A 13,935-nucleotide genomic window follows, 5' to 3' on the forward strand; every position below is an offset into this window, starting at 1 on the left:
TGAAAATATGGAAATATGTGAAGTCAAAGTCAATCTCAAACCTTCTTTGTAGAGATGGTAAGTAAAATTAAAGGATTGAAAACCCATTACTGTGCTACAAATCTACTTAAAATTTCTTAATCATTGCTGTTTCTGAGCTCCTCTGAATAATCTCTTAATGTGTGGTACCCTGGCTCATGGCAAGGACATGACTTAAATTACATGCAAAAATATCTTAAAAGTATTTATTCAGGTAATAGATACTCCCTTTGTGATGAGAAACAGATTTAATACAATGATGACTTGTTCCCAAACAATAATCTGAGTATCAGAAATTGAAGCTTAAGTTATTCCTAAGTTTTATTCCTAAAACGGATTTTTTTTGTTTTTCAGAAGAAACTAGAACATATTAATAAACAATTTCACACCCAAAGGAATGTGAAACTTCATTTTCCTGACAAAGAATGTCCACTAATTAAAAATGACTGTGTTGGCAATTTAAAAGTATCTCTTTGCATATTGAACACTTGCTTTGGGTAAGAACTTGGCAAACTAAAAGCATATGGCCATTCTCTTTTTCATGGTTGTACCCAATAAATGTCATCAGAATTTCAAAATGATGAAGAAGGTCTTTAAGTAGAGAAAATGAAATGCCACTTTTGGTTTTCTAAATGACAGAGATTTGAGGGAGGGGCTCTGAGGCACATACGCAGAGACCATTAAGTGATATAGGGACCAGAAATACAGAGCCAAATTCTATACAATAAAGACCAAATATCAAAAATAGTTTACAATACTAAAACAGGTTATGTCTAATGCCAAGAAATGCTTTCAGTAATACTAGTAATTTTTTATGCCTCTAATCATAATTCATAAGACTGAATTAAAGTAGACAACCCTACATTTAATTTGTCCTTTGAGCAATATTATGTGGTTTCAAAACCATAGCTATAAGAAGAAGAAATTCATTTGCTGTTTCCCTTAGTGTATTATTCAAGTTCAGTCCATTACTAACCACTTTCAATTTTTAAATACCAGCATGTCTTCATTGTAGGAGTACTGGACTAAGAGTAACAAGCTGCAAATCTGAGTTCTTAACTACCACTGACATCACAATGCATTACATTTTTTCTGAATCTCACTTTCCTTATTTGTAAATTAAAATAGTAATGGTAGCTGCTCTGAGTGCCTCACAGGGTAGCTCTAAGGAACAAAAGAAAGAAAATCTTTATAAAGTAGAATTCATACCAAAGTGGTAATTAAACCCTTAAACAGCAAAACTCCAAGTGGATGTACCTGGAGACTGAACTAGCACAAAAGAGCAAGAGGAGACATTTGTTAGTGCAAATGAAGGGGAATAATATGTGAAAAGATACCTGTATTACAGGTAAATTTCCTCAGGAAGCATTCAACTTGGAAGATGTTCTTATTAAAACACCCAGGGTCATCTTGGTATGTGCATGTGCATGCATGCACATGCACATACACACTCATGCAAACACAGATACACACACACACTGGTCTGCATTTATTGAATGCTAATTAAATACCAACTGAATGTCGGCTCTGTGTTTGTCACTGTGCTCAGAACTAGTGATAGAGGAGTAAGTAATTGAGAAACAGTCCCTCCTTTCACAGAGCATATGTTCTGGTAAGGAAGATTACAATATCGTTTCCAAGTGTGCAATGACAACATGATATGTTGTAGAAATGAGAACTATGGTGGTATGAATATTTATTATTGAGACATGAACATATTTGTGTCTACATTAACTGATATTTTAAATTTCCATACCCCATTTCCATACTATTATAAAATGTTTAATAGTAATTAACTTGATATTTCAATATTTAAGCTCCAGGATATATCAGGGGAAATTCAGCCAGATATCGGGCAAAATTCACCCGATATTTCACATAGGTTCTTTTCTATTTTCCCTAAGCGTTGGCTGGTTTGAGAAATAAAGGGACTGAGTACAAAAGAGAGAAATTCTAAAGCTGGGCATCCGGGGGGAGACATCACATGTCGGTAGTTTCCATGATGCCCCACAAGCCGCAAAACCAGCAAGTTTTTATTAGGGACTTTCAAAAGGGGAGGGAGTGTACGAATAGGGTGTGGGTCACAGAGATCACGTGCTTCACAAGGTAATAGAATATCACGAGGCAAATGGAGGCAGGGCAAGATCACAGGACCACAGGACCGGGGCAAAATTAAAATTGCTAATGAAGTTTCAGGCACCATTGTCACTGATAACCTCTTATCAGGAGACAGGGTTTGAGAGCAACCAGTCTGACCAAAATTTATTAGGTGGGAATTTCCTGTTTCTAATAAGCCTGGGAGACCTGTGGGAGACTGGGGTTTATTTCATCCCTACAGTTTCGACCATAGAAGACGGCCACACCCAAGGGGGCTATTTCAGAGACCTACCCTCAGGGGTACATTCTCTTTCTCAGGGATGTTCCTTGCTGAGAAAAAGAATTCAGCAACATTTCTCCCATTTGCTTTTGAAAGAAGAGAAATATGGCTCTGTTCTGCCTGGCTCACCGGCAGTCAGAGTTTAAAGTTATCTCTCTTATTCCCTGAACATTGCTGTTATGCTGTTCTTTTTTCAAGGTGCCCAGATTTCATATTGTTCGAACACACATGCTCTACAATTTGTGCAGTTAACGCAATTATCACAGGGTCCTGAGGCAACATACATCCTCTTCAGCTGACAGGATTAAGAGATTAAAGTAAAGACAGGCATAGGAAATCACAAGGGTATTGACTGGGGAAGTGTTAAGTGTCCATGAAATCTTCACAATTTGTGTTTAGAGACTGCAGTAAAGACAGGCATAAGAAATTATAAAAGTATTAATTTGGGGAACTAATAAATGTCCATGAAATCTTCACAATCTATGTTCTTCTGCCATGGCTTCAGCTGGTCCCTCTGTTTTGGATCCCTGACTTCCCGCAACAAGGATATCCAGGAGGAAATGTGTCTCAGCTAGAAAAGGAAACAGCATTACCCAAAGATGGCCAAAAGGACTTGGTGTTCTCTTGTGGTGAGATGGTTAGTTAGTGTCTGTTCAGTTATTAGGCAGAAACATGATTTTGCTGTCTTTATTTGGAAGTCGAAAGGCTTGTATATGAATATCAGGTTGACAAGGGGCAGACTGTGACAGCTTCGTACAACATCAACTTAGTTAAGCCAAAACTAGGTCTTCTGTAATTCTGTTTTCTATGTTTTTCTGCGTTAGGGTGAGCCAAAAGAGAAACCGCACAAGATTGGAATGGTAGATGTGAAACAATGGCTATAATCTCTAAAGGTCATTGTAGGGTACCAGGTTCCCCTGTAGCTCACACACATTGTTACTGAGCCGCTAGGCATGTGGAAGCAGCCAGATCTACAGCTTTTTCAGATCCTGCTAGAGCTTCAGGTTTAATTGTTGCTCCCAGGTACAGAGTAGCTAGCTCTTCCTAACACAGAACACTCATATCATCAAGATTGGAGGAGGTAAGATTCAGACAGTGTTTCCAATTTTTCCTTATGGATTCCAGTTTGTCCTTGCTGTGTCTCCTATTCCATGTCTAACTTTTTTTCTGAACTACCAGCCCTGACTATCTATAGCAACTTCAGACCCACGGCCAGATACAGTGACAACAGCCTTCTGTAGACTTCTTTGCCAGCTCCCACAATTATATATGTTCTGATTCCAATAATGTTCTTTCTTCTGTGGTGATTATGCTTTCTGATTGAACTCTAACTGATACAATATGCTGCAGCAAAATTAGGGGGAAATATCAAAAAGAAAGGCAACATCATGCAGTGAGCCGAGATTGCGCCACTGCACTTGAGCCTGGTGTCAGAGTGAGACTCCATCTCAAAAAAAAAAAAAAAAAAGGCAACATCAGAGCACAAAAACAACGAATTAAATAACATAAGAAAATCTGGAATTATTGACCTAGGATGATTGCTTCTGAAATCAGAAAGCCACCAGTTCAGCTAAATTAGAAGGACGTGGACTTTAGAACGAAGGTCTCCAGGCAAAAGGACTGGAGATTTGAGATTAAGTCCACATAAAGAATGGGTTACATGACAGAAAGAAGAGACAAAATCAAGGATATTATCAAAACCTGAAAGAAAATAAAAGAAATCAATCATGAACTTCAGGTAAAACAAGCATCTGCATAAGCAATTATGGTCCGCATATCAAGTTATTCCTTCAAATTAGAATAGGAAGCCAGTAAACTTCTAGAGGAAAAATAGACTGGATTTTAGGCAATAGAATGAGTAAAAAGATAGACGATACTGGATACATAACAAAGAAAACATATGTTTCCTTTTCTAACAAGAAAAACAAATCAAAATAAAAGCACTTAGAAACTCTACAAAGAACCAAGAAAAGAAAAATGGTAAAAACATGAAGGAAGTTAAAATGGGTCATGATTTTGAGAACTTGGAGGAGAGTAATAAAGGAGAATGGATTTGATCTTCATCCAATGAATGTCAATGGGGTTGTCTCAGTGGTGCTATAGAACAGGAGACGTAATTCCGTCATCCACTGGGCATTGTTGTCAAGGATATTTACATGGCCATACCAACTTAATTGTAATTTATTGTTTTCAACTTTCAGACTCAGACTGCATAATGCCTAGAAGACCAAATAATTAACATAAAACAGAATATTAATGGAATCAACACTGAGAAAATTAACTGAGTCGCAGAAAAAAGAACAAGGACATCATTTGATGTGCTTCACTTGTTACAAACTTGAGAAAAAAAGCATCTCAATAAAATATAGTATGATGCTTTGCTGAGTTAAGTGTGAGCTAGAGTTAGTAAAATCATCCTGTTTAATTATGCTGTACACTATAAAAACAATTTAGCATAGAACATAAAACATTGCTTTTCTGTGTTTCTTGAAAACCTGTTATTTCTCTGAACTTGAGTCAGAGAATCTTATGAAGTGAATGACTGTGTGCCCCCCAAATTCGTGTGTTGAAGCTCTAATCCCTAGTATGGCTGTATTTAGAGATGGAGTCTCTAAAGAAATATTTAGGGTCAAATGTGGTCATAAGGGTGGGTCCCTAATCCAATATGGCTGACTTCCTTATGAGAAGATATGCTAGGGAGCTCTCCATGTACCAAGGAAAAGCCATGTGAGGGCACAGCAAGAAGGGGCCATCTACAAACCAGAAAGAGAGCCTCACCAGAAACTAAATCAGCCAGAACCTTGATGTGGGCCTTCTAGCCTCCAGAACAATGAAAAAATACTTTTTTGTTGTTTAAGCCATCTAGTCTACAGTATTTTGTTATGCCAGCCAAGCTGACTAAGGCAGAGACCAATGGTGGGGTTAAAGAAGAGGTGAAGAGAAGCTAAATGCCTCGTGTTTCTAGTTCAATCATATTAGCTTCATGTTTATTTGTTTTATAATTGTTGTTTATTGTATTTGATATCAGATTTTCCCCGACAAAAGAAAAAAGAGTTCTAAATCATCAACTAGCACCCCTGAAGAAACAGAATGTCAAAAGCATCTAAATACTAAATAATTTATGTTTCCTACTCAAATATTACTGATTTTCCTTCATGCCACCATTTTTATGCATTGTTTGACATTTTATTTTAAAATAAATTTTAAACTCACAGGAAGGTTTTTAAATAGTTACATAAAACTCACACTCATAGCTATATTCAACAACTATCAACATTTTGCCAAAATTTCTCACACATACTCTATTTCTATTCCTCTTCTCCCTTCCCTCTCTCTTTACACATATAAAATAATATAGACACAGAAATCTAAATCTTTGGGATTAAATGCAGATATCGTACTTCCATATCTCCTAAATACTTAAACATGTATTACAGCAAAACAAAGGCATTCTCTCTTTAATCACCTTCACAACATTTTTTGAACTTTCTTTTTTCTTTCTGTACTTCTTGCCCATAACTTATCTTGATTGCATTTGGTTACTTTTTTCATATTCATAAATACATACTAGTATTCTGAATGAGATAAGCTAGGTAGAAAGGGGAAAGACTGTTGTTTCTAGAAGAAACTGTTGAATTCAGTTGCCATGGTGGGATTATGAAAACGGTTTTGATAAAAATTCAAGCAGAAATAAACATGCATGATCTTCTCCATTTAGAATTGTACAAAAAGCCATGTATACTGTCTGCTTTGAGATGAAACAATAGTCTTGTGCATTGTCATGTCAAACACAAATAACTCTTTATTCTATTTTGTTTTTCTTGTTTTGCCTTGTAGTCCTGCATGAAAGATATCCAAAAACTGATCTTCACTGAAAAACAACACTAAAATCAAGCAGAAGATTGCTTTTGGCAAAACATATTGAGCTGGTAAAACACTAATTAGTATATTTGAGTCTAGGCCTCAGGACATTTTCTTCAAATGTTTTCATTTTTATTCATAATTTATAATGTAATTCTCTTTTATTTTGAAATACACACTTGTTTTGGAGGAAAACTCTGGCAATATACCAAGGAAGAAGTTATATCTAAATGATTTAAATAGTGTTTGCTAAGCATCTTTGGTAACTGTTTTTCTCCCTTAGAACTATAAAATCTAACAAACATAATTTATGGAGATGTTTAGTCTTGAACAGAGATGTTATAGTTTTGAACCGGATTAAATTTCAAAAGTACCTTTCTATATCTTGAGACTTTTTGGTAATATAAATCAAAATAAAACATCCATAAAACATAAAATTCTGTTTCTTTCATCTCTTAAGTTTCTGTGCTCTAATAAACTGTTAGGGGTGTTTGTACACCAACTGTACACACATTTACTCATGGATACAATGAGAAGCTGAGAATTTTTGAGTTGCACAATTAGGATGCAAGAAGATTCTTCAAATACTTCGTCATAGTCCAAAGACTGAGGAATGCATACTATCTCAAAGAGAAAAAATAAATAAGGCTCACTTATCTTTCAAATTAGATTGACAGGCTATTAGCATAAGTAAAATTGTGTCATATTAATTATTGATCTGTAGGATGTTAGAGATTGTGCTAGAAAACTTAATGTGAGGACATGATACTCTTACTCACGCCTGGAGAGTTAGCAGTAATGTTAGTGTTATCCTGGCCAACTCTGTCTTTTTTCATCCTAAATCATTTTCCCATCAACCACTGATGAGAAATTCTGCTAATGAAGACATATTCCTTTGTGTAAAACCCACACATGAACGAGATCATGATTTTTATGCAATCAGTATTAGTCACCACAGAATAGTCTTGCAATAAATGTTGTTTAAATGTTTCTGAATATAGAAAAAAGAGACAAAAGTCAGTAAGCAGATGACGAAGTCCTACTTATAGAGACTAAACCTTTTGGGCTTCATGATGGCGTTTCTGCCTTATAGAGTTATTATGTGAAGCTACTCCAACGTAAAGGAATACAAAAATTAACACATCACATAGAACATGGTATGTCCTCAATAAATTGAACTGCCTTTCCCCTCACACATGTCCTTTATATCTCCCACACCAAAGTGGCCAAATGGGACACTGTTCTATATAAATACATATACATATATATATGTACATTTATATATATATATATACACATTTTTATATATATACATATATATAAAAGAGCCTTGTATGGTGGCTCACACCTATAATCCCAGAACTTTGGGAGGCCAAGACTGGAGGGTCCCTTGAGCCCAGGAGTTTGAGACTAGACTGGGCAACATAGGGAGTCCCCATCTTCTCTCTTAAACAATTTAAAAATCAGTCAGGCATGGTGCCGTGCACCTGTGGTTCCAGTGACTCAGAAGGCTGAGGTGGGAGGATCACTTATGCCCACGTTGAGGCTCCAGTGAGCTGTCATAGCACCACTGCACTCCAGCCTGAGCAACAGAGCAAGACCTTGTCTCAAAAGAGAGAAAAAAAATCATCTGTCACTTTTCTATATATGACAGTCCATATACAGTTATCATATATTGACCACTCTAAATCTAGCCTTCAGATAATCTGACTTTGTTTTTAAATATAAATTGTGCATTGGCAAATCTAAATCTACCTTTCAAAGTACATATAGTTTTATTTTTTTAAGACACTATCTGATTATTAACAAATTTGAACAAATTTGTCATGTGGCTGAGGATGAGGGGCTGGGAGAGGGGAGTGGAACTGCCCCTACACCAGATCATTTGATAGTATTTGTGAACAAAGATCAATGTCAAGTAAAAGGACCTTTTTCTCCACCTGGTCTATAAAGGACCCACCAAGGCACCTGAAATTCCCTTGCTCCTGTGGGACACTAGGAGCTGCTGTCCTCTTTCCTACTTCAAAGCCCCCTCCACCTGTTTCCTCTGGGATAGGGGTAGAATTGCCATAATGTTAAGCAGCAAAGGAATTGTCCAAAATAATCCCCTCTTCATGTAAGGTGGCCAAAACAGGCCCAAAACTCATTGACCAGGCTGCAAGGGGGAGGTAGAAACACATGCTCTGTTATCCCTGCTCTGTGTAAATTAGGTAACCTGATGATGAAGTTAAGAGATTGGGAGCTGCCTGCATCACTACCTCTGCCCATTGGAGAGGTTGGAGCTCAAGGGAGCAGCTGCTGACTGAGAAAGAACAAATGCCCCACTGGATTCCCCAGTAATCAGTAATTGGTATGTGAGTATTGATCCCCTCCACTGAAGCTGATTCCTGGTACGTCCAGGGGCTCTCATTCACCCAATGGATGGTCCAGTCCTGAAGGACACTACCTCCTTTCACTCCCAAATTAAGGAAGGATTAGCATTTTTCAGATATCAGAAATTTAACTCTCCTGATAGTCTCTAAGTCTATTGTTCTACTTCCAGACATTATACCTCTAATTGCCTTTTTATAAACACTCACTATTAATTAAAATGGGGGCTGTCTATAGTTGTTCAATCATTGGCCAATTTTTTGGAGTTCTGTTAATCCTAAAGCTTCCAACAATCTCTGCTACAATATAAAAATGTTTAAATATTTTGAAGGTGGCAGTGTCTAATAAATATCTAATAATTGATTTAGTACTTTCAGATAAATTCAATAAAATAATTCTTGCATTATGTCTACTAGAATAATTTTATTATAGTTATAATAATTCTTAAATACTAGCCTTTCGAAGGCATGTGATCTTCACATCATATTTTGTTGCTGTCTCTTCCATAACGGTATGATGTTTTAACATATTTGTGTGATAAATAAAATTTAATTTTTTAGATGAGAAAATCTGGTGTCAACATATATTTCACTGAAACAATGGCTGAAATTTCACCTGAAACAATATATTAAAATGATATCTGTTGAGTGTATCCTTTCTAAATTCAAATATTAAAACCACTATTGCAACTTGTTAAAATGTAAAAGTAACTCAGATTATAGAAAGAATTCACTAAATGATGCTCTAGTAACTTACTAAAGACATTTTTAATGAAGTCAATCAATATTTTCACTTATCTTTATGAGAGTTCCAAAAAGCTAGCATAATGAGCTTTTCACAATATATATTTTGTTTCATTATGCATAATATCACCTTAATGTTTGTGGGAATTTAGTGTTTCAACCATTCCTCTTACTATGTGTTGCTGTTTAGAAATGTTTCTAAATTTTAAGTTAGTTAAAGATCAGTGATTTAAAAGGAGCAATTCTGCCACCTTGTGTTCTGTAAAACCAGGATAGCTGCTTGCTTCCGGGAAATCGCCAGTACTTTCTTATCAAACTTGAAAGCTGTAACTCTGAATCAGAATTCTAGAATGATAATCAGCTGTGCCCGTCCCCCTGTTTATTTTCTTCCAAGTTTGCATGTACTGATCATGGAAGCTGGTTACTTAAGCTGTACCTGTGCCAGAGTTAGGACTCATTCCTCAGGATTTCTACTAAGGTTTGTAAAGCCAAACAACAAAACTTTAATTGCAACCATATGTCACTCTGTTTAAATTTTATTTATATATATATATATATATATATATATATATTTCAAATTTAGGATATATGTGTACATCAGAATTACTGAAATGCTAGTTGATACTCAGCTATACAGGTTATATTATACTGTTTCAAAACAATAATAAGAACAACACAAAATAAGCTTACAATGTTTAAAAACATACAACTTTTAAGAGGTAAGAAAAGTTGCTTGTGGTTTTTTGAAGTCAGATAATTAATAGAAGAAAACTTTCAAACTTTTGGTAAAATACAACTTTTAATCAGAAGATTAGAAATTAAACAGAAAAGGACCTACCGCTAATAAGGAAATAATCATTAACCTATTGATGTGTCTCTTTCTTATAACGGAAAGTGCTAGGAATACACAATACATTGTTTAAAGTTTTGCAATTTATCATTCTTCCCTAGAAAGGCAGAAGATGAAATGCCATCAAAAGCCTCAACTTCTGAGTCTGTCCTTCTCTTGTAACTTGGATTACTGAACTCTTTGTATCATCTGTTCCCTTTGTGGATTTATTTTCAAGAGAAAAATATACGTTAGTCTTCACAGGACTAAACTTTTTAAGTCTACGAAAAGGCTTCATCAGAAATTTATATACTTAGTGGTTGGAGTGAAGAGAGAGACCATCATTTTAATCAGATTCTCAAAGGCATCTATGTCCCCACCTTCCCAAAAGGATAAAAATTACCATAAAAAGTCTCTGATTTGAATTACACAACTCTATTCCCTATGAGTAAATCATAAAATTTAGGTGGCATGTTACTGCCATCTTGTGTCTAGTGAGTATCTCTTTCAGTTTCCATTAAGTGTGCTAGTTGGAGTGATCAATAAAGAAACATTCTAAATTCAACCTGTAGGATTCTGCAGGGACTTACATGAACAAAACATGGAAAAACAATGAACTTCAAGCTATAGGTCCCTTAAAGCATTATTAGAATTATTGTCTAAAAGAGTTTTAATAAATTATAGGGCTGCTCATGATTAAAGATTTCTCCTTAATAGTTTTAGTCTTAAACAACTCATACTTAGAGCAGGAATTAGAATTGGCAGGAATCTCATAAGAAAGGACACCTAGATAATAATTTTTCTGCAACCGAAGGCAAGGAAATATCACTAATTCATTGAGATGTTGCAATTAGTTTTTAAATCTTGGATTCTTAAGGTGAATTTCTCCAAGTTTCTGAGTATTCCACCCAACATGTGCCAAACTTCAAAACTTTCTAAAGTTTAGGCATTTCAACTTGAAAAAAAAATTTTAAAGCACAAACATAAAAGGAAAATGCTGTGATGTATTACACAAAATCAGAATAATTTTTCAGCATTGTGATTTTTAGTTATCTGGCCAAACTGTCTGTGTTGATTTCACATACAATTTAAGAACTAAAATTGCTTTTTGAACACTTATGTATAAAAAGTGATTGTAATTCTAAAATAATCCAGAAATTTAAGAAATGGAGGATTAGTTACAGACATCAGAAAGAAAACACAAAAGTTCCAATGCTAACCAGCCAGTCCAGCATGAACTTTTGAATATTATCAACTTCCCAACTGCATGGGAAGATGATTGGAGAGAGCTGGCAACTGCTTTTGAGTAATAAGTATATTTTGGAGCTCAATGGAAAGAAGAACTATTAATTTTCTTTCTCACTAGTGTGACTACAAAATTCTTAGTTGTAGAGGCATTCGCAGATATTATGAGGGTATTTCTAGCTAACAAATAATTTCTAGTTTAGAGGGAATTCAAAGTAACCCTTTGGTTAAAAGAGGATTTGGAAGCTGGTCTTGAAGCTGATTTTGAATAGCAGGGACACTGATCTGGTGACTTTGTGGGGAGAGCATCACTTAATACTGCTTTTGATAGATTGAAAACTGCTCTTTGAGAGAGGAAGAATTTGATCTCATGATATAGCACTTCAGTAAAAAAAAAAAAAGCAGAAATAAGTAGTATAAAAATAAGCACCAATAAAGTTACCTTTTCAGGAGAAATTTTCTTCATATTATATTTTTATCTGGTTGGGGGGGTTGGGGGTTGGAGACAGATGAGTTTAATTCAAATTCTCCAACTGACAAGCATTACTCATATTATCTGGATCAACTCACGTTGTTTGAGTCTTTGATCATACAGCTGGCTTCCTAAACATGACAGGATTTCCTAAGACTCCTAAGATATACTTCTAACAGGACCCTCAGTTAAAACAAATCATGCACGTTTCCAGGATCTGTTTCTGAGCCACTCAGATTCTTCTATTAACAAGCATATCTGAAGTCAGTGCCCTATACCCATTTTTAGACTCTCTTACCCGAGGGCAGCCTACCTCTCTGAATTGGCAGAACTATTGTTAGCATACTGCATTGTTCTGGGTTTGCCCATCTGATATGCCTATCCCAGAGGAAGAGCTGCAGGAACTGATAGAAGTTTGGAGAGCCATGTTTCCTTCCACTCCATGCTTCTTGACCAATTAAAACAAAGCGCAGAAGCGGAAAAATCAGTAATCACATTACAAAAGAACACAGGCATAAAAATCTTTCATTTTGGACAGTGGAAACTCAATTTTGCTATATCTTCCTCAAAATTTGCTTAGAAATGACCACAGGAAAAAAAAAACAACAACAAAAACACAGAACCAGAAAAGACCTCATAAGGACATGTGAGGGGCTTCCGGCCAGTTTTATGTGCCCCTTGTGTCTCTGGCCACACCTGACTGAGAGCATAGATGTTCTCTTTGGCAATCTTTCCTGCTCTTTCACTCCAGTGGCAGCTGGTCTCCCCACTTCTCTTTGTGTTTACCCGATTCTATAGCTGCAGCATTCCCCCTTCTCTCACTGACATTGGCTGGACTTTGACTTGAAACTTGTTCTGTGCTTGTAGTGACCTCTGATGTTGACCTGTTACTATCTTCCACTAAAATGCTTCCCAATGAGCTTCCAGTCCCTGCTGGCACTTCTTTAGCCCTAAGGGGCGAGGATCCCTTCTTAATACCAGTACCTCCCTAGTATCAGCACCCTGAACACCAACCCATTACAAAAAATGATGAACTTCTCAACGACATTTCTAGCTTCCTCTCTTGAAAACTTTTGGAATGTTTTTCCAAGGGCTTGACCGGGGTACATTGACCAACACCACAAAGTGTTACAACGAGAGTACCCATTCCTCCACTCCCAGTGTTATCCTGTGGCCAGGATCAAGTCTAGGCAGCTCAGTTACTTTCCCACTCAAGATAAGCTCCCTTCTCATCCAAAGCACCTTGGAGAAATTGAAATAACCTTTGACCCCACCCTGGGTGGAGGTGTCTTAAGCCTGCCTTCTAGATAAAAATGCTAGTTCCAGTGTTTTCTGCAACATTTCTCCTAGGGGAGTCATTAATTTTTCATGAAGATCGTAGTGGCTTTTATTCCTAAGCTGAAATCAATAAAGTTAATATGTAAAACAAGCCTGTCCCGTGGGATATTTGTGTCACTTAAAATGCGGAACTACAAGCATGACTGGTAAAATTGGAATTTTTCCTAAATTTTTAAAGTTGAAATAAGGAGTAGTTTCTGTTTAACTATGTTTCATATTCATTCCAAATTAGTGAAATGCACATAAATATTTTCTAAGCACTCTGTATTTTTTTAAAAAATTTCTTTTGTTGTTACTTATTTACCCCAAAATCACATTTTATGACTTCAAATCATCTTCATTCTTTAAAGCTGTCATGGATTTGGCTCTTTCAGATTGATCTCAATATATTTCTGACTGTGGTAACGTCAAAAGCCAATATCGATTTCTTTCAAAAAATACTGAAGAAAACACTCTCTATTCCAATAAAATAATTTTTAAAAATCATTTCTCTCTTAAACTAGTGTATTTTTAAAGAAGAATTTAAATAAAAAGCAAGGCAAGCATTTCTACCCTTGTATATGACTACAATTCAAAAGCTTCGACAAAGTTGAAATTTTCTTATTGTCATTTGTCAGAATATATCTTGCAAAACAGATTTATTAGTATTTACCATCCATACGTTTAATTCTGTGTGAGAGTA

Source organism: Homo sapiens, chromosome 21 (assembly GCF_000001405.40).
Source record: "Homo sapiens chromosome 21, GRCh38.p14 Primary Assembly".
NCBI lineage: Eukaryota > Metazoa > Chordata > Mammalia > Primates > Hominidae > Homo > Homo sapiens.